The following is a 20,626-nucleotide window of genomic DNA, read 5'->3' on the forward strand; positions in this document are numbered from 1 at the left end:
ACTTCCCCTTTCTAGTCAGCCCACGGGGCAGAGACCCTGGCGTCATCTCTAGGCAACCATCCCTTTTCCAGGGAAGCTCATGACCCACGGCTGTCCAGAAGCCAGAATCTTCTCACTGCCCCGTGTCGCTCCCGCAAGGCCTACCAGAGGACCCTCATGGTGTGGTAGGGGGTCCTGGCAGGGGCCAGGGGCCAGGGTGGAGACTTGGCAGTGGGGGTGGGTTTGGTGTCCCCACAGACGAGTTTGCCGTGAGCATTCCTGGATGTGGCAACCTCAGTCTCAAGAAGAGCGACAGGACGCCAGCTCCCATGCAGAGACAGATCCAGGTAAGAAACCAGCTCATGTGTGACAAACTCACCATCTCACCATGAAGGTGACTCTTGAAAGCTCCTGTGCACCTTGGAACTGCTGAGACATCTTCTGCTTGGAGGAGGCAAGGGACAGGCTTCCTGTTTCTAAAGGCGTGTGAGTGGCGACCTTGAGAAATGTGGCCAGTGGAGCATTTTGACTGAGTTGGGTCCCCTCGTGCAATACTGTGAGACAGAACTCCCAGCGAGGCCCACGGCCTCTGACCATGGGGGTTGGAGTGGGGAAACCAATTAGCCATTTTGTTGAATTGGCTGGTTCTGACTCAAATGAGCAGTCACATTAGTAAAAATAGGCAAACGGATGTGCATTGTATTTGCCCAGAGCGAATGAGTTGTTATCCATTTCAGTAATAATGATAACCAGATATGTCTGATAAATATCTGATAATGTCTGATATATGTCTGGTAAATTTAACAAACACCGGGCTCTGGCTGGGTGCGGTGGCTCACACCTGTAATCCCAGCACTTTGGGAGGCCAAGGCGGGTGGATCACCTGAAGTCAGTAGTTCGAGACCAGCCTGGCCAACATGGTGAAACCCCATCTCTACTAAAAATACAAAAATTAGCTGGGCATTTTGGTGTGAACCGGTAGTCCCAGCTACTCAGGAGGCTGAGGCGGGAGAATTGCTTGGACCCGCGAGGTGGAGGTTGCAGTGAGCCAAGATCACACCATTGCGCTCCAGCCTGGGCAACAGAGCAAGACTCTATCTCAAACAAACAAAACAAAACATCTGGCTCAGAAGATTCCTGATTTGCAGTGTTTACTAATTTCTTTTTTCTTTTTCTTTCTTTCTTTCTTTTTTTTTTTTTTTTTTGAGATGCAGTCTCACTCTGTCGCCAGGCTGGAGTGCAGTGGCTCAATCTCAGCACACTGCAACCTCCGACTCCCAGGTTCAAGCAATTCTCCTGCCTCAGCCTCCCAAGTAGCTGGGACTACAGGTGTGTGCCACCGCATCCGGCTAATCTTTGTATTTTTAGTAGAGACAGGGTTTCACCATGTTGGCCAGGCTGGTCTCGAACTCCTGACCTCAAGTGATCCACCTGCCTCGGCCTCCCAAAGTGCTGGGATTACAGAGTTGAGCCACTGCACCTGGCCAAGGCCTGAACTCTTTCTTCTTAGGCTCATCCAAAGTTTAGCTGCTAAAAAACCTTCCTAAAAGCCAATTTAAAATTTTCTTCTAGGCCGGGCACAGTGGCTCACGCCTGAAATCCCAGCACTTTGGGAGGCCAAGGCAGGCGGATCATGAGGTCAGGCGTTTGAGACCAGCCTGGCCAACATGGTGAAATCCCGTCTCTACTAAAAATACAAAAATTAGCCAGGCATGGTGGCAGGTGCCTGTAGTCCCAGCTACTTGGGAGGCTGAGGCAGAAGAATCGCTTGAACCTGGGAGGCGGAGGTTGCAGTGAGCCGAGATCGAGCCACTGCACTCCAGCCGGGGTGACAGAGCAACACTCCGTCTCAAAAAAAAAAAAAAAAAAAATTCTCTTCTGAGGGGTGAATAAATGCTTCTGTGGATAGAGCTCATCCTAGGCTAACAAAGCTGTGACTTCTTGGTTTGTGTTTCATTCATTCATTCAATAAATTACTCAATAAATTATTTTGCTAACCTTTAAGGACCTCAGTTCAGCTGTGATATAGTAAACTCTGTAGCCCTACTATTTCTAACAATGCCTTTTGCACAGCAAGTTCAAGCCTGAGGTGTCAGGTGATCAGAATTCCAGGCCCGGTTTGACAAAACTTTCTTTGTGAATCCTTCCCTTCTCTGAGCCTCAGTTTCCTTGTTGTAAAATGAAAGAATTCAATTGACAAATATGAAAGTGCTCCAGGGATTTTGCCATCTGCCTTCAAGAAAGTCCCGCAAAGTGTAGGAGGAAGTTGAAGCCATAATATGATGCAGGCTAAATACAATGACCTTCAATTTGTGCCAGACCCTGTGCTCAACAAGTAGAGACTCAGAACTGGGCAAGTCATTCATGGGTAGAGCACATGGCACATGTTCTACAGGACAGAAGGCACATAAGTTATTACTATGCAAAGTGATGAATGCTAGTGCTGTGGAAGCACAAAAGTGGGAGAGAAGAAAGGGTCTGAGTGGTAGCATTTGAACTGGGCCTTGAAGGATGTGTAGGAGCTCACCAAATGGACAGAATGTGGACAGACACAAAGCAGCCATAGTATTTGGAGAGAAAGAGATGGTTGCATGGCTGATCAAGAGTGAATGTGTTGGGCAGTCAGAGGCTTGAGAGCAAAGTTTAGGGACACACACCACGGCATCTGGATCTACCCACTTCCTTGCTATCTACATTCTTCCCCGACTCCACCATTTGTCTTTCCACCACAAGAGGAGGGCAGGAAGTTGGGGCGGTTGTGTTCTTTCTGCACATCTGAAATGCCACCTGCTGGTCTGGGCAACTAAAGAGGTCCCTGAGGGCCCTAGATTAGCGGCTGGACCAGAGGGTGTCAAGGAGAATGAAGGGCACCCTCTAGTGGTCACCTGTGGTGCTTTCTCCTCAGGATTCTGGTCCCTCTGACCTCCCCGTAGGGATGGCTGGACACACAAGATGTTCACCTCTTAAAGCTACAGAGACCATCAGGCTAGAGGACACTCAGAAGGGATTCCAGTCCACCCTTCATCTCATGACTCAACCTTTTTGTCAACATCCGGGTGGCACCCAGCTTCTGCCGTTTTGTTTCTTCTCACTCAGTCATCTAAGTCATGTGTAAAATGAGGTGTTATTCTTTGTGCCACTCACAAGTGTCAATTAATCCCCATCATGAGAAAAAAACTGAAGAAAGAGAAATCATAAGATACAACATATAATTAGAACATTAATAGATTTTATTGCAGTTTTTAAAAAGGTGGGGGTTTTTGTTTGTTTTTGTTTTTGTTTTTGAGACAGAGTTTCGCCCTTATTGCCCAGACTGGAGTGCAATGGCGCGATCTTGGCTCACTGCAACCTCCACCTCCTGGGTTCAAGCAATTCTCCTGCCTCAGCCTCCAGAGTAGCTGGGATTACAGGCATGCGCCACCATGCCCTGCTAATTTCGTACTTTTAGTAGAGATGGGGTTTCTCCATGTTGGTTAGGTGGCTGGTCTTGAACTCCTAACATCAGGTGATCTGTCCACTTCAGCCTCCCAAAGTCCTGGGATTACAGGCATCAGCCACCACTCCGGGCACAATAACTCATCTTTAAAGAGCTCTGAGAGCAATATGGGTGGCCAAAGCACTCAGGTGGAACCAGAAGTCATCACTAAGCAACCGTGGCTGCTTTGTTTGTCCCTAACAATAGCCAAGCAGATGTTGTAGCTCCTCTGTCTCCCACCCTGGCCCCATGACATTGAGGTGGGGTCGTTCCAGCTCAGATGTAAAAAGGCAAGTGTATAAGTATTTGGGGTTGTGGCAGGAGGCAGCCGTGTCTTGTGTATGAAGGGAGTCCCTGCCCACTTCTCCCCATTTCTGGAGGTAAAGATTCCCATGAAAGGTACTAGGAGCATTGGGCCCCTAAACCCCAGAACCCATGAGTATGTTATTTTAGATGGTGAAAGGGATTTTGCAGATATGACTAAGGATTTTGAAGTGGGGAAGTCATGCAGGATTATCGACATGGACCCCATGTAATCACAAGATCCTTCTGAGAGGGATACAGGAGAGTCAGGGTCAGTGGCAGGGGATGTGCTGGCAGAGGCAAGAGACTGGGGAGATCCGAAGAAGGGGTCTCGAGCCAAGAAATGCAGGCAGTCTCAAGGAGCTGGTAATGGCTGGGCAATGGATTTTCCCCTGGGACAGGGATGGAGAGACAGCAGTGATTTCAGTTCTCACTCTTGAACCTTCTCTCTTCTTCGTTCCCAAACATGAGTCCACCAGCCCCATTACCACTCAACTGACTGGGAGCCACATCAACCATAACTCTTATGATTTACCAGTTGTAATACTTAAGCATTTTCTGTGGCCTGGCAATTTATTTATTTATTCATTTATTTTTGAGACGGTCTCACCCTGTCACTCAGGCTGGAGTGCAGTGGTGCAGTCGTGGCCCAACGCAGCCTCGAACTCCTGGGCTCAAGCGATCCTCTCACCTAAGCCTCCCAAGTAGCTGGGACCATAGGCATGCACCACCACACCTGGCTAATTTTTAAATTTTTTGTAGAGATGGGGGTCTCGCTATGTTTCCCAAGCTGGTCTCAAACTCCTGGCCTCAAGAGATTTTACCGCCTCGGCCTCCCGAAATGCTGGGATTACAGACATGAGCCACTGTGCCTGGCCTGGCAATTTAACCCAACTCAGTCATCTCTCCTCTGGACACTCTCCCCATGACATACTTTGCAATGGTTTTAAAATATGCTCATACATTTTTTTGACACTCCTCCCATTGAGCTGTGGGAATCTATGTCCCCTCTACTCAAAAGTGGGCTGACGTTAGTGACTCACTTATAACACTGACTGTAGGGGAAGGAAAGCTGCTTAACTTTTGAGGATAAAAAATTATGCAGCTTTGGGCGGGACGCGGTGGCTCACGCCTGTAATTCCAGCACTTTGGGAGGCCGAGGCGGGTGGATCATGAGGTCACGAGTTCAAGACCAACCTGGCCAGTGGAAGGTCCCCTGAATGGGCTACCCCATGGTCGAGCCATTGTGACCCCTGTGACCCACACGTTACAGGCCTCCTGGAGTCACAAAGCCTGGAGCAACAGGAGAACCACTAAAGAAGACGGAACAGCTAGTTCCTGCCTTAATGATTAACCGACCTTGCAACAGTCCACCTTGTGATATGTTCCTGCCCTTCCCCAACTAATCCATCCACCTTGTGATATGTTCCTGCCCTTCCCCAACTAATCCATCCACCTTGTGATATGTTCCTGCCCTTCCCCAACTAATCCATCCACCATTGTGACATGTTCCTGCCCTTCCCCAACTAATCCATCCACCATTGTGACATGTTCCTGCCCTTCCCCAACTAATCCATCCACCTTGTGATATGTTCCTGCCCTTCCCCAACTAATCCATCCACCTTGTGATTGTTCCTGCCCTTCCCCAACTAATCCATCCACCACTGTGATATGTTCCTGCCCTACCCTAACTAATCCATCCACCTTGTGATATGTTCCTGCCCTTCCCCCAACTAATCCATCCACCACTGTGATATGTTCCTGCCCTTCCCCAACTAATCCATCCACCTTGTGATATGTTCCTGCCCTTCCCCAACTAATCCATCCACCACTGTGATATGTTCCTGCCCTTCCCCAACTAATCCATCCACCTTGTGATATGTTCCTTCCCTACCCTAACTAATCCATCCACCTTGTGATATGTTCCTGCCCTTCCCCAACTAATCCATCCACCTTGTGGCATGTTCCTGCCCTTCCTCAACTAATCCATCCACCACTGTGACATGTTCCTGCCCTACCCTAACTAATCCATCCACCTTGTGATATGTTCCTGCCCTTCCCCAACTAATCCATCCACCTTGTGGCATGTTCCTGCCCTTCCTCAACTAATCCATCCACCACTGTGACATGTTCCTGCCCTACCCTAACTAATCCATCCACCTTGTGATATGTTCCTGCCCTTCCCCAACTAATCCATCCACCATTGTGACATGTTCCTGCCCTTCCCCAACTAATCCATCCACCATTGTGACATGTTCCTGCCCTTCCCCAACTAATCCATCCACCTTGTGATATGTTCCTGCCCTTCCCCAACTAATCCATCCACCTTGTGATTGTTCCTGCCCTTCCCCAACTAATCCATCCACCTTGTGACATGTTCCTGCCCTACCCTAACTAATCCATCCACCTTGTGACATGTTCCTGCCCTACCCTAACTAATCCATCCACCACTGTGACATGTTCCTGCCCTACCCTAACTAATCCATCCACCTTGTGATATGTTCCTTCCCTACCCTAACTAATCCATCCACCTTGTGATATGTTCCTGCCCTTCCCCAACTAATCCATCCACCACTGTGACATGTTCCTGCCCTACCCTAACTAATCCATCCACCTTGTGATATGTTCCTTCCCTACCCTAATTAATCCATCCACCTTGTGATATGTTCCTGCCCTTCCCCAACTAATCCATCCACCTTGTGATATCGTGCCTTATGACTTCCCCCACCTTGTGACTATGCACCTTGTAACATTCTTCCCCTGCCCAAAAAAACTGCCCCTAACTGTAACTTTCCACTACCTACCCCAAACCTATAGAACCAGTTCCACTCCCACCACCCTTCGCTGACTCCTTTCTCTGACTCAGCCCACTTGCACCCAAGTGAATAAACAGCCTTGTTGCTCCACTAAGCCTGCTCAGGTGGTCTCTTATACGGAGGCGTGTAACAGCCAAGATGGTGAAACACTGTCTCTACTAAAAATACAAAAATTAGCCGGGCGCTGTGGCGGGCACCTGTAATCCCAGCTACTCGGGAGGCTGAGGCAGGGGAATCGCTTGAACCCAGGGGTGGAGGTTTCAGTGAGCCGAGATCAGGCCACTGCACTCCAGCCTGGGCAACAGAGTGAGACTCCATCTCAAAGAAAAAAAAAATTATGAAGTTTCCAGTTCGTCCTCTTAAGATTCCCACTCAGTGGGAGGGGGAAGCCAGCTACCACATAAGAAGTCCAGCTACTCTGAGACCCCGCCATGCTGGAGAAGCCATGCAGAGCCCTGGGTTGGCAGCCCCAGCTGAGCTACCTGGACACAACCCATGCCAGCCATGTGAGTGAGCCATCTTGGACGTCCAGCCCTGTGGGGCCTTCAGATGACATCTGAGCAGCTGCTAGGGAAACACTGAGTGAGACCTGCCAGGCTCAGTCCTGTCTAAATTCCTGGCCCACAAAATCATGAGCAAACCAAGTGGCTATTTTAAGTCAACAAGATTTGCAGTAACTTGTTACACATCCGTAGTGGCTGGAACAACTTTTTCTCTACCCTCTTGCCCCACTTCCACGCCTCCAGGGGCAAAGCATAACGCCCATTTTGCTGCAAACAGCGTGCCTGGTCGGCCTCTCTATCACAGCTGAGTGCACACCTGTTATCTTGCCTTCCCAGGACTTCACTCCCTCTTCGGTGAATAGCAATCCTTTCTTTTGAGGAAATGTCCCCCCACTGCCCACCCTCTTTATCAATCACATTGCTTTCGGTCAGAGCTGCCACTTTCCTGTTTTCATTCCCCACTGCCACATGGGAATGCAGGTGGCCTCTAGGAGGTGAAGAAGGCAGGGAAATAGGTTCTTCCCCAGAGCCTGCAGAAAGAACCTGCCTGCCAATACATTTCAGACTGCTGAACTTTAGCACCTCCAGATCTGTAAGAGAATATCAAACGTGTGATATTTTGCTACAGCAGAAACAGGAAGTGAATACACCCTTCAACACCTGCAGGATCCTCCCAGTACTTTTTTTTTTTTTTTTTTTTTTTTGAGACAGAGGCTCACTCTGTTGCCCAGGCTGGAGTGCAGTGGTGCAATCTTGGCTCACTGCAACCTCCCCATCCCGGGTTCAAGCGATTCTCCTGCCTCAGCCTCCCAAGTATCTGGGACTACAGGTGTGAGCCACCATGCCTGGCTAATTTTTGTAGTTTTTAGTAGAGACAGGATATCACCATGTTGGCCAGGCTGGTCTCGAACTCCTGACCTCAGGTGATCCGCTTGCCTCGGCCTCTCAAAGTGCTGGGATTACAGGTGTGAGCCACCATGCCCGGTCTCAGTACTTTTTTGTTTATGTCTAAGTCAGTTCCAGGAAGGCTGCCACCATTTGCTACCAAAACAATCCTTACACAACAATAGCAAGTCTCCTTCCATCTCCTCTATTCTGGTCCTTGAAACCTTATCAATGGTGAGGTCACAGTCATTGTTTGTTGTTCGGTTGAGAACTGAGGGGGTGGGGTAGGAGGAAGAAGGTCTATTTTTAAAAATCACACACACTAAAAAAGGTTCAGGCTCTGAGAACCTGTGAAATCTTGACTAATTTTGGCTTTCCCCATGGGAACCCACCAGAAAAGTATTCAAACTTGTATAGAACACCCTTGACGTAACTAACTCCATCTTAGAAAAATACTCCATTTTATATTTCATACAGCACTTTGCCAATTAGGATAAGATGTTTTGCTTAAGAAACAAATTTAAAAAAAAAAGACTGCATCCAACCAGATAAAGATACAAACAAGCACACTCTTCCACCATCAGTTCTCATCAGAGGACTCTGTAACTATAAAACATCAGGCCTTGGCTGGCTGGGTGCAATGGCTCATGCCTGTAATCCTAGCACTCTGGGAGGCCGAGGCAGGTGGATCACAAGGTCAGGAGTTGGAGACCAGCCTGACCAACATAGTGAAACCCCATCTCTACTAAAAATACAAAAATTAGCCGGGCATGGTGGCGTTCGCCTGTAGTTCCAGCTACTTGGGAGGCTGAGGCAGGAGAATTGCTTGAACCCGGGAAGCGGAGGTTGCAGTGAGCCAAGATCATGCCACTGCACTCCAGCCTAGGTGACAGAGCAAGACTCCATCTCAAAGAAAAAGAAAAAGAAAAAGAAAAAAAAGCAGGCCTCTAGCAGCTTGAAATAGCCATAACTCATCATCATCACTCATGATAAGAACTCAGCATTTGGCTGGGCGAGGTGGCTCATGCCTGTAATCCCAGCATTTTGGGAGGCCGAGGCGGGTGGATCACCTGAGTCTGGGAGTTTGAAACCAGCCTGGCCAACACGGTGAAACCCCGTCTCTACTAAAAATACAAAAATTAGCTGGGTGTGGTGGTGTGTGCCTGCAATCCCAGCTACTTGGGAGGCTGAGGCAGAAGAATCACTTGAACTTGGGAGGCGGAGGTTGCGGTGAGCCAAGATCACGCCATTGCACTCCAGCCTGGGCAACAAGAGTGAAACTCCGTCTCAAAAAACAAACCAAAACAACTCAGCATTTGACCCCCAAAAGCTCGGCCACATTAAAGACTCCTCCTTGCAAGATCTAACGGGGCCCAGAGACTACCAGACCACCAGACCAGGACTCCTTTGGTCTTCCTGCTCCCCCTGGACTGGTTCCTTAACCCTTTCTCCTCTTTTTCCTCTTGATGTTAAATGTTACTTTGTTTGTTGTGGGATGTTTACTACATAACACTTATATATCAATTAAGTATGTTATTCTGTACGGTTTGCAGTATTGACTTAATTATTGTGGACTGGCTGGAGCCTGTGTGCCCGCAGCTGACTACTGAGTGATGGGAAGTACTAAGGAGAATTGCCTCCTTGGGAACTCCACGTAGCCTGTGGCTTTTGTGATTTAAGTAGCATGAATAAAAGCGTGACACTGTGGAAAGACGCAAACACACGTGGACCTGGTTATCTGTAACCTTGTACCGCTCATGACAAAATTAGCAAATCGTTTTCTTTAAAAAAAATCATGGTAAAATGTATGTACCATAAGGCTTATTTTAATCTTTTTTTTTTTTAATTTTTTTTTTGAGACGGAGTTTCGCTCTTGTTGCCCAGGCCGGAGTGCAATGGTGCGATCTCGGCTCACCGCAACCTCTGCCTCCCGGGTTCAAGCGATTCTCCTGCCTCGGCCTTCCGAGTAGCTGGGTCCCCACCACCATGCCCAGCCATTTGTATTTTTAGTAGAGATGGGGTTTCACTATGTTGGCCAGGCTGGTCTCCAACTCCTGACCTCCTGATCCACCTGCCTTGGCCTCCCAAAGTCCTGGGATTACAGGTGTGAGCCACTGCACCCAGCCCAGAACTTTTTCATCTTCCTAAAGTGAAACACTGTAACCATTGTCCACTCTCTCCTGCCCCTGGTAGCAATTCTTTCTTGAAAAAGGCTAAAGTAGGCCAGGCGCGGTGGCTCATGCCTGTAATCCCAGCATTTTGGGAGGCGGAGGCGGGTGGATCACCTGAGGTCGGGAGTTCAAGACCAGCCTGACCAACATAGAGAAACCCCGTCTCTACTAAAAATACAAAATTAGCCAGGCATGGTGGCGCATGCCTGTAATCCCAGCTACTCGGGAAGGCTGAGGCAGGAGAATCGCTTGAACCTGGGAAGCGGAGGTTGCGGTGAGCCGAGATCGCGCCATTGTACTCCACCCTGGGCAACAAGAGCGAAAACTCCGTCTAAAGAAAAAAAAGAAAAAAGCCAAAGTAGGCCAGGCATGGTGGCTCACGCCTGTAATCTCAGCACTTAGGGAGGCCGAGGCGGGTGGATCACCTGAGATCAGGAGTTCGAGACCAGCCTGGACAACATGGTAAAACTCTGTCTCTACTAAAAATACAAAAGTGAGCCAGGCGTGGTGGTGGGCACCTGTAATCCCAGCTACTCGAGAGGTTGAGGCAGGAGAATTGCTTGAACCTGGGAGGTGGAGGTTGCAGTGAGCTGAGATTGCACCACTGCATTCTAGCCTTGGCAACAAGGGCGAAACTCTGTCTCAGAAACAAAAACAACAACAACAAAAAGATAATTTTAAATAAAAGATAGAACTATGAATCTCATGAAGATATAAAAATGAACGCCAGCCTGGCCAAGATGGTGAAACCTTGTCTCTACTAAAAATACAAAAATTAGCTAGACGTGGTGGTGGGCACCTGTAATCCCAGCTGCTCAGGAGGCTGAGGCAGGAGGATCACTTGAACCTGGGAGGCAGAGGTTGCAGTGAGCCGAGACCGAGCCACTGTGCTCTAGCCTGGGCAACAGAGCAAGACTTTGTCTCAAAAAAAAATTTTTTATTCCACTTATTAATCAATGAGGGAAGAAAGCCACTGCAGCCTGGGCAACAGAGGGAGATCCTGTCCGAAAAAAAAAAAAAAAAAAGAAGGCCAATGTTATAAGAGGTTTAAAAGAAAATCCAAAGACCAGATAACATTTATAAATCAAGGTTATTGAAACAAATTGAGATAGAGCAGGGACCCGTTTTAGGGGCCTGAGAGCCCTTTTAAGCATGGAAATAAAGGAAAATCTTGAGTTCCTTCAAAGAAAATTCCAGGCACCTAGCTAGCCCTGAGAAGTAAATGAGTAACTTGATAAGCAGGAAGGTAATAGTAGCTTAAAACAATAGCCAAGGCCAGGCGCGGTGGCTCACGCCTGTAATCCTAGCATTTTGGAAGGCCAAAGAGGGAGGATCACCTGAGTTCAGGAGTTCAAGACCAGCCTGGCCAACACGGGGAAACCCTGTCTCTACTAAAAATACAAAAAAAGTTAGCTGGGTGTGGTGGTGGGTGCCTGTGATCCCAGCTACTTGGGAGGCTGAGGCAGGAGAATTGCTTGAACCTGGGAGGCGGAGGTTGAAGTGAGCCAAGATTGCACCATTGCAGTCCAGCCTGGATGACAGGGCGAGACTCTGTCTCAAAAACAAAAAAACAAAACAAAACAAAACAAAACACTAACAAAAAATAGCCAAGGAAGTTAGAGTGAGGAGACGTTTTGTTACCCATGTCCCTGAGTTGTTTTTCAGAAATCCGGACACCCACCAAATGGATCTGCTGGCCCGTAGACTTCAGATAAGGGCAGCTGAGAACTGAACTCTGACTTCTGGTCTTTGTTCCAAATTTCTTCCTGAGGGGCCTAGAGGAAGTCATGCCCAGGAGCCAGAGCTAACATTCTTTTCTGCTGACCCCAAATTTTTAGACAAAGCTTCGCCTCCTGAACCAATTGCAAATCAGAAAATCTTTGAACCTACCTATGACCTGTGGTCTCCCTCCCTTTGAGATGTCCCTCCTTTTTAGGTAAAATCAATGTATAGCCTGTATGTATTGATTTACAACTTTGCCTGTAACCTCTGCCTCTCTGCCTTTAAAAACCCTTGCCTGGCCGGGCATGGTGGCTCACGCCTGTAATCCCAGCACTTTGGGAGGCTGAGGCGGGCGGATCACCTGAGATCAGGAGTTCAAGACCAGCCTGGCCAACATGATGAAACCCCATCTCTACTAAAAATACAAAAATTAGCCAGGTGTGGTGGCGCATGCCTATAATCCCAGCTACTTGGGAGGTTGAGGCAGGAGAATCGCTTGAACCCGGGAGGCGGAGGTTGCAGTGAGCCGAGATCACGCCACTGCACTCCAGCCTGGGTGACAGAGCAAGACCCTGCCTCAAAAATAAATAAATATAAAAAATAAACACCTTTGTCTGTAAGCCATCAGAAAGTTCAGGTCTTAAGCAGGATCTGCCAGATTCTCCTCGCTTGGCACCCTGCAATAAATGCCCCACTTTCTCTGGCTGCAATCCTCATGCCAGTGTTTTAGTTTTGCTGGGTCAGGCAGGCAGACCCAAGTTCATTTGGGTAGCAGGACGAGCAAATGTAAGCAAACTGTTTTTTAACAAAGGGGGTAGGGAAGAAAATCAATGCAACTTCTATAGGACTGGACAGAATATCCCCCTCTATAAACAAGAATTATTTTTGCATTGCTATCAGTCATCCATACTTTACAGAGAATTGAGATCAGATAACCCAGAAATAGATCCTCTAGAACAGGGGTCCGGGGCCTGTTAGGAACTGGGCTGCATAGCAGGAGGTGAGTATTGGGTGAGTGAGCGAAGCCTCATTTGTATTTACAGCTTCTTGCATGACTGCCTGAAATCCGCCTCCTGTCAGATCAGCAGGGGCATTGGATTATGATAGGAGTGAGAACACCATTGTGGACTGCGCATGCCAGGGATCTAGGTTCCGCGCTCCTTATGAGAATCTGATGCCTGATGATCTGTCACTGTCTCCCATCACCCCCAGATGGGACTGTCTAGTTGAAGAAAAACAAGTTCAGGGCTCCCACTGATGCTACGTTACGGTGAGTTGTATAATTATTTCATTATAATTACAATGTAATGATAATAGAAATAAAGGGCACAATAAATATAATGAGCTTGAATGATCCTGAAACCATACTCTGCTGCTCCATGGAAAAATTGTCTTCCATGAAATCAGTCCCTGGTGCCACAAAACTAGTCCCCGATGCTGCCCTAGAGTTTATATACTGCACAGCTTTCTGACGAAACACAAACTTCCCTCTCTATGAGAGATGGCTGAGGCTGAGAAATTCGAAAGAAGATCAGGTCAGTAGACCTTTTTTTTTTTTTTTTCAGACAGAGTCTCACCCTGTCGCCCAGGCTAGAGTGCAGTGGTGAGATCTCAGCTCACTGCAACCTCCGCCTCCTGTGTTCAAGCGATTCTCCAGCCTCAGCCTCCCAAGTAGCTGGGACTACAGGTGTGTGCCACCACGCCTGGCTAATATTTTTGTATTTTTAGTAGAGACAGGGAGGGTTTCACCATATTGGCCAGGATGGTCTCGATCTCCTGACCTTGTGATCTGCCTGCCTCCCAAAGTGCTGGGATTACAGGTGTGAGGCACTGCTCACACCCTTTTTTTTTTTTTTTTTTTTTTTTTTTTTTTTTTTTGTGATGGTCTCACTCTGTTGCCCAGGCTGTGGAGTGGCATGATCATGGTTCACTACAGCCTCAAACTCCTGGCCTCAAATGAGCCTCCCACCATAGCCTCCCAATAGCTGGGACTATAGCCATGAGCCACCCTGCCTGGCCAGGTCAGTAGAACTTCTGAGAGAAAAGGGGCTTCAGGAGCAGTTTGTAGACCAAGAACAAGAGCCCTCATATTTCTGAGAGATACTAGAGCTTCCGCTGCTAGATTGTTACCTATAACCTGGGTTTCCTGCTGAATTTGGCAATGAACCTCTTTGATGTGATAGATCTCAGGGCTTGCGTCAGGGACAGCCAGGAAGGGAGGAGGCAGAAAGCAAGGCTGGATCCCAGAGACTCTGTGGGCAAGAAGCCTCTCAAAGCCACAAGGCAGGGCCCCCGTAGAGCGGGAGCAGCCTTTGATATTCTCCAGGCCAGGGAGGCCTTTGCATTCCAGAACTGAACCGGAAAAGACAAGGTTACCTCAAAGGAGTCCCAGGGATTCCCTAAAGAAGGACTCTGGGGAGTCTGTGAGGGAATTCCAGCTGCGTGGGGGCATCCTGGAGCCCTCACGAAAAAAGGTGTGGGGAGCTCTGCCCACGGTCTCTGCCCTGTCACTCCCAAAGCTGAGTGGGGAGAAGAACCCACTTCAATCGGGCGCGGTGGCTCACGCCTGTAGTCCCAGCACTTCGGGAGGCCGAGGCGGGTGGATCACGAGGTCAGGAGTTCAAGACCAGCCTGGCCAATATGGTGAAACCCTGTCTCTACTAAAAAAAATACAAAAATTAGCTGGGCGTGGAGGCGCGCGTCTGTAATCCCAACTACTCGGGAGGCTGAGGCAGGAGAATCGCTTGAATCCAGGAGGCGGAGTTTGCAGTGAGCCGAGATCGCACCACTGCATTCCAGCCCGGGGGACAGAGCGAGACTCCGTCTCAAAAAAAAAAAAAAAAAAAGTACACACTTCAGTACCCACTGAACTGAAGAGAGTTTCAAAAAGTTACAGCCTGGCTGGTGCTGCCAAACCCTGCCTCTACCTTCATCCAGACTCGTCCTGGGATGCTCAGTAGATATTATAAATTGCCAAAAGGTTGGAAACATTCTCACTTCTACCACCAGATGGCGGCCATCATCCCTTCATCGGCTAATTGTTAAACCAGACAAGAAGCCCTTATACCCGCATCTCACACCCATTAGGATGGCTACTAGACATACACACACACACACACACACACAGAGAGAGAGAGAGAGAGAGAGAAAGAGAAAGAGAAGAGAGAGAGAGAGAGAGAGAGACAAAGAATCTGCCTGTGCACTCTTGGTGGGCATGTAAGATGGCACAACTGCTATGGAAAACAGTATGGAAGTTCCTCAAAAATTAAGATTCCATGTGATCCAGCAGCAATTCCACTTCTGGGTCTGTACTCCAAAGAATTGAAAGCAGGAGCTCAAAGAGATATTTGTACATCCATGTTCATAGCAGTGTTATTCACAATAGCCAAAATGTGGAAGCAACCCAAGTATCCACCAATGAATGAATGGAGACACAAAATGTGGTTATAGAAATACAATGGAGGCCCGGCGCCGTGGCTCACACCTGTAATCCCAGCACTTTGGGAAGCCGAGGCAGGTGGATCACCTGAGGTCAGGAGTTCCAGACCAGCCTGGTCAACATGGTGAAACCTCGTCTCTACTAAAAATACAAAAATTAGCCTGGCTTGGTGGTGGGCGCCTGTAATTCCAGCTACTTGGGAGGCCGAGGCAGGAGAATCGCTTGAACCCAGGAGGCAGAGCTTGCGGTGAGCCGAGATCGCGCCACTGTACTCCAGCCTGGGTGACAGAGTGAGATTCCATCTCAATTAAAAAAAAAATACAGTGGAATATTATTCAGCCTTAATAAGAGAGGAAGTTCTGGTACATGCGACACCAGGAATGAATCTGGAGGATGCAATACTAAAGTGAAGCAAGCCAGACATAAAAAATAAACATTGTGCCTGAGCGCGGTGGCTCACGCCTGTAATCCCAGCACTCTGGGAGGCCGAAGCAGGCAGATCACTTGAGGTCAGGAGTTTGAGACCAGCCTGGTCAACATGGTGAAACCCCGTCTCTACTAAAAATACAAAAATTAGCTGGGCATGGTGGTGCATGCCTGTAATCCCAGCTACTCAGGAGTCTGAGGCAGGAGAATCACTTGAACCCGGGAGGCAGAAGTTGCAGTGAGCTGAGATCGTGCCACTACACTCCAACCTGGGTGACAGAGCGAGATTCTGTCTTTAAAAAAAAAAAATTGTATGATTCCACTTATATTGAGGTACCTAAAATTGGCAAATTCATACAAAGAGAAAGTAGAATGATGGTTGCCAAGTGCTGGCGGAAGGGGAAAAAAATTCGTTGGTAAAATTGGAATCATATTTCACACATCAAAACTAATTCCAGATTTTAGTTAAAATTTAAATGTAAAAAAATAAAACAAATATTCTTAAATATTCATGTCATGAATAGTAAATATAATTTGTCTTCTTTATGATTTTCTTTTTTCTTTTTCTTTCTTTCTTTTTTTTTTTTTGAGAGAGTTTCGCTCTTGTTGCCTCAGGCTGGAGTGCAATGGCGTGATCTCAGCTGACTGTAACCTCTGCCTCCCGGGTTCAAGTGATTCTCCTGCCTCAGCCTCCTGAGTAGCTGGGATTACAGGCATGCGCCACCGCACCCGGCTAATTTTGTATTTTTAGTAGAGATGGGGTTTCTCCATGTTGGTCAGGCTGGTCTCGAACTCCCGACCTCAGGTGATCCACCCACATCGGCCTCCTAAAGTGCTAAGTGCTAGGATTACAGGTATGATGAGCCATTGCACCTGGCCTTTTTTTTTTTTTTTTTTTTGAGACGGAATCTTGCTGTGTCGCTCAGGCTGGAGTACAGTGGTGCAATCTCTGCCCACTGCAACCTCTGCCTCCCAGGTTCAAGCAATTCTCCTGCCTCTGCCTCCCAAATAGCTTGGATTACAGGAGCCCACCACCATGTCCGACTAATTTTTGTATTTTTGGTAGAGATGGAGTTTTGCCATGTTGGTCAGGTGGTCTCGAATTCCTGGCCTCAAGTAATCTGCCTGCCTCAGCCTCCCAAAGTGCTGGGATTAGAGGTGTGAGCCACTGCACCTGGCCTATGATTTTCTTAATAACATTTTCTTTTCTCTATCTTACTTTACTGTAAGAATACAGTATATAATACATATAACATACAAAATGTGTTAATCGATTGTTAATGTTATTGGTAAGGCTTCTGGTCAACAGCAGGCTATTAGCAGTTAAGCCTACTATTGACCAGAAGCCTTACCAATAACATGTGGGATGTCAACTGCACCAGGGGTTGGCACCCCTAACCCCTGTGTTGTTAAAGGGTCAACTATTCTTATTTTCCAACCTAATGTTGCCCTCCTCAGAGAGGCTTTGATTTTATCTAAAATAACATCCCTCAGTGAAAAATTACCAAGTATTCAATAAATCTGAAAAATACTTTCATGATGAAGAGAAAAATCAATTGCAACAGACCCAGGAATAACAGAGATGATGAGATTAGTGGACAAGAGCATGTTATGTAGAGACATAGAAGATATATAGATACTGATAGACTATGTATGTATATATGAGTGTATCTATCATCTATCTCTTCTAGAGATGAAAAGTACACTGAATGGAATTTGCAGCAGATTACACACTGCAGACCACAGATTAATGAATTTGACACAGTAATAGAAATTATCCGGGCGGGCCGTGGTGGCTCACACCTGTAATCCCAGCACTTTGGGAGGCCGAGGAAGGCGGATCACCTGAGGTCAGGAGTTCGAGACCAGCCTGGCCAACATAGAGAAACCCAGTCTTTACTAAAAATACAAAATTAGCCGGGCGTGGTGGTGCATGCCTGTAATCCCAGTTACTCAGGAGGCTGAGGCAGGAGAATCACTTGAACCTGGGAGGTGGAGGTTGCGGTGAGCCGAGATCACGCCACTGCACTCCAGCCTGGGCAACAAGAGTGAAATTCCTTCTCAAAAAAAAAAAAAGAGAGAAAGAAAAAAGAAAAAGGAAAAGAAAGTAATCTGAAGTGAAATACAGAGAAAGACAACGGCTGAGAATAAATGACAGTGAGTTGGGGGATAACTTCCAGAAGCCTAATGTACGTGTAACTGGAGTTTCCAATAACCGAGACTCCATTTCCAAAAGGAGGAGGTACAGAAAAATATATTCAAAGAAATAAGGGAAAAATTTTTCCTAACTTGATGAGAATGATACACCCGTAGATAATACACCCACCCAGCAAGCTCAATGAACCCAAAGCACAAGAATCATGAAGAACACTAATCAAAGTGCATCTTTTTTTTTTTTTTTTTTTTTGAGACGGAGCCTCGCTCTGTCACCCAAGCTGGAGTGCGGTGGCGCGATCTCGGCTCACTGCAAGCTCCGCCTCCTGGGTTCACGCCATTCTCCTGCCTCAGCCTCCCGAGTAGCTGGGACTACATGTGCCCACCACAATGCCCGGCTAATTTTTTTGTATTTTTTTAGTAGAGACGGGGTTTCACCGTGTTAACCAGGATGGTCTCGATCTCCTGACCTCATGATCCGCCCGCCTCGGCCTCCCAAAGTGCTGGGATTACAGGCGTGAGCCACCACGCCCAGCCCAAGGTGCATCTTAATCGGGCTACTTACAAACAGCAATGAAGAGAAGATATAAAAGCAGCCAGAGAAAAAAACAAATATAAAAATGACAGCAATCTTCTTTTTGGGAGTTAATGTGATGCAGAAGATGCTAAAGCAACATTTAAAAAGTACTAAAAGGGCCGGATGCTGTGGTTCACACCTGTAATTCCAGCACTTTGGGAGGCCAAGTCCGGTGGACCATTTGAGGTCAGAGTTCGAGACCAGCCTGACCAACATGGTGAAATCCGTCTCTACTAAAAATACAAAAATTAGCTAGGTATGGTGGCACGTGCCTGAAATCCCAGCTACTGGGGAGGCTGAGGCAGGAGAATTGCTTGAACCTGGGAGGCGGAGGTTGCAGTGAGCTGAGATCATGCCACTGCACTCCAGCCTGGGTGACAGAGCAAGACTCTGTCAAAAAAAAATTAAGAAAGAAATAAAGAAAATCGAAATAAAGAAAATCAAAATAAATGAAAGTTCTATCATATTCATGGATCGTAAGACTCAATATTGGTAAGATTTCAATTCTCCACAAATTGATCTACAAAATCAACACAGTTCCAATCAAAACCTTGGTGGGCTTTATTTGGTAGAATGAGCTGATTCTAAAATTTATTTAGAAATGCAAAGTACCTAGAATAGCCAAAATAACTTTGAAGCAGAATAAGTTGGAGGACTTACTACTTGATTCAAGAATTCTCATAAAGCTACAGTAAAAAAAACAATGTGTTATTGTTGCAGGTAATACATAAATAGATCAGTGAAACAGAAAAGAAAGTCAAGCAATAGACCTGCACATATATAGTCAGTTGATTTTTTTTTTTTTTTGAGATGGAGTCTCGCTCTGTCACCCAGGCTGGAGTGCAATGGTGCGATCTCAGCTCACTGCAACCTCTGCCCCCTGGGTTCAAGCAATTCTCCTGCCTCAGCCTCCTGAGTAGCTAGGTTTACAGACGCATGCCACCACGCCCGGCTAATTTTTTGCATTTTCAGTAGAGACGGGGTTTCACCATGTTAGCCAGGATGGCCTCGATCTCCTGACCTTGTGATCCACTCGCCTCAGCCTCCCAAAGTGCTGGGATTACAGGCACGAGCCACCTCGCCTGGCCATGGGTGCGGTTTATTTCATGTCAATCATAACTCAATAAAGCTGTCAAAAAAAAAAAAAAGAAAGAAAGGTGAGCCTGGGGTTGGGAAGGGTGAGTGTCAGTCAGAACATGGAGAACTCAGAAGCCAGACGGAGGGGTGTAGACGATCCCCCGGTGATGGGCCAGCACCCGAGCATTTCAGAAAGGAGTGGGTTGTGGGAAGCCAACACTGTCAGCAGGATCTGGAATGGATTGGATGCCAAAGAAAGGAGTGTGGGCAGGAGCTCCTTGCAAGGTACCTACTATAGTGGTGGGGGTGGATTCTAGAAATAAAAGGGGGTCATTTGGAAATGAAGGCGAGGTTAGAAAAAGAAAAGGAGGGAGAAGCAACTGGATCCATGACAATTTAGGGCCCGTCCCCCAGCTCCCAAAGCAGTCATTTGATAAACCAAATCGAGGGCAGAGAAGGCTCTTGGAAGCTTGAAAAAAAATTCCTGCTATGTCTGCTTCTTTCTGGTTTCTACCCTGTGTACAGGGTCCTGTGACCACAGCTCTTTCTGCTGACCGCAGCTGGGTATTCCTGCCTATGGAAAAAAACCACTCACTCGGCCCCGCTCACTCAGCAAAGGGGCCCGTGCTCCTGCTCCTGCACCCAACTGGCCTTCAGGACTGCAAGAGGCCCCAAGGGGCCAGCTCTTCCTGCTGCTCTCAGGGGCACCACCGTTACCCTGCCCAAGCCAAGAACTGTTTTCTCTCTCAAGTCAAGTTCCTCCTTTGGTCTGCCTTCTATCTCTCTAGGTGTAATGTAAGCCATGAATATTCATCCTGCCAAAGAGCCTGGAGTCAGTACCTGACTTTTCTGCTCACTTCCTCTCTACCTTGGTCCTACCTCAGTTTACTCCCAAAATGCTGCACCTACCACTATGCCCTGATTAACAGATGACCCCATCAGGTGACAGGAATCTAAATATAACTGTGGCTGGGTGGCTGACTTCCTGTGTGTGCTCAAGGCAAGAGACTAGGAATTGTGCCTTCACCAAGCCTGTAGATCCAGATCCTTGCTGCCTGAGACAGCCCTCAGGGTACAAGCTTGCAATCTGATGACAGAG

At 47.6% G+C, this 20,626-nt stretch overlaps 1 long non-coding RNA gene across 2 annotated transcripts in view, besides 5 other annotated features; it reads left to right on the forward strand.

The window, feature by feature from the left end:
• Positions 1-1,127, forward strand: part of ZNF594-DT (ZNF594 divergent transcript) — a 43,997-nt gene extending 42,870 nt beyond the window's left edge. Inside the window, exon 8 of one of the 2 annotated variants that reach the window (NR_034082.2) lies at positions 72-1,127. This is a non-coding gene — a long non-coding RNA (ZNF594 divergent transcript). The remainder of the gene's footprint in view (positions 1-71) is intronic. The other variant, NR_152840.1, reaches the window with a different exon arrangement.
• Positions 226-425: an enhancer, noted in NCBI's record as "active region_11567". NCBI's record gives its function as "activates an Ori minimal core promoter by ATAC-STARR-seq in GM12878 lymphoblastoid cells {active_cell/tissue: GM12878}" and the evidence as "EXISTENCE:reporter gene assay evidence [ECO:0000049][PMID:35858748]".
• Positions 2,371-2,670: an enhancer, noted in NCBI's record as "active region_11568". NCBI's record gives its function as "activates an Ori minimal core promoter by ATAC-STARR-seq in GM12878 lymphoblastoid cells {active_cell/tissue: GM12878}" and the evidence as "EXISTENCE:reporter gene assay evidence [ECO:0000049][PMID:35858748]".
• Positions 6,905-7,134: an enhancer, noted in NCBI's record as "active region_11569". NCBI's record gives its function as "activates an Ori minimal core promoter by ATAC-STARR-seq in GM12878 lymphoblastoid cells {active_cell/tissue: GM12878}" and the evidence as "EXISTENCE:reporter gene assay evidence [ECO:0000049][PMID:35858748]".
• Positions 11,658-11,952: a silencer, noted in NCBI's record as "tiled region #14928; K562 Repressive non-DNase unmatched - State 23:Low". NCBI's record gives its function as "represses a minimal TATA promoter and a strong SV40 promoter by Sharpr-MPRA in K562 cells {active_cell/tissue: K562}" and the evidence as "EXISTENCE:reporter gene assay evidence [ECO:0000049][PMID:27701403]".
• Positions 19,642-20,147: an enhancer, noted in NCBI's record as "H3K4me1 hESC enhancer chr17:5157813-5158318 (GRCh37/hg19 assembly coordinates)". NCBI's record gives its function as "activates a minimal SCP1, AML or CMV promoter by ChIP-STARR-seq in naive H9 embryonic stem cells {active_cell/tissue: H9 hESC(naive)}" and the evidence as "EXISTENCE:reporter gene assay evidence [ECO:0000049][PMID:30033119]".

Source organism: Homo sapiens, chromosome 17 (assembly GCF_000001405.40).
Source record: "Homo sapiens chromosome 17, GRCh38.p14 Primary Assembly".
Classification (NCBI taxonomy): Eukaryota; Metazoa; Chordata; class Mammalia; order Primates; family Hominidae; genus Homo; species Homo sapiens.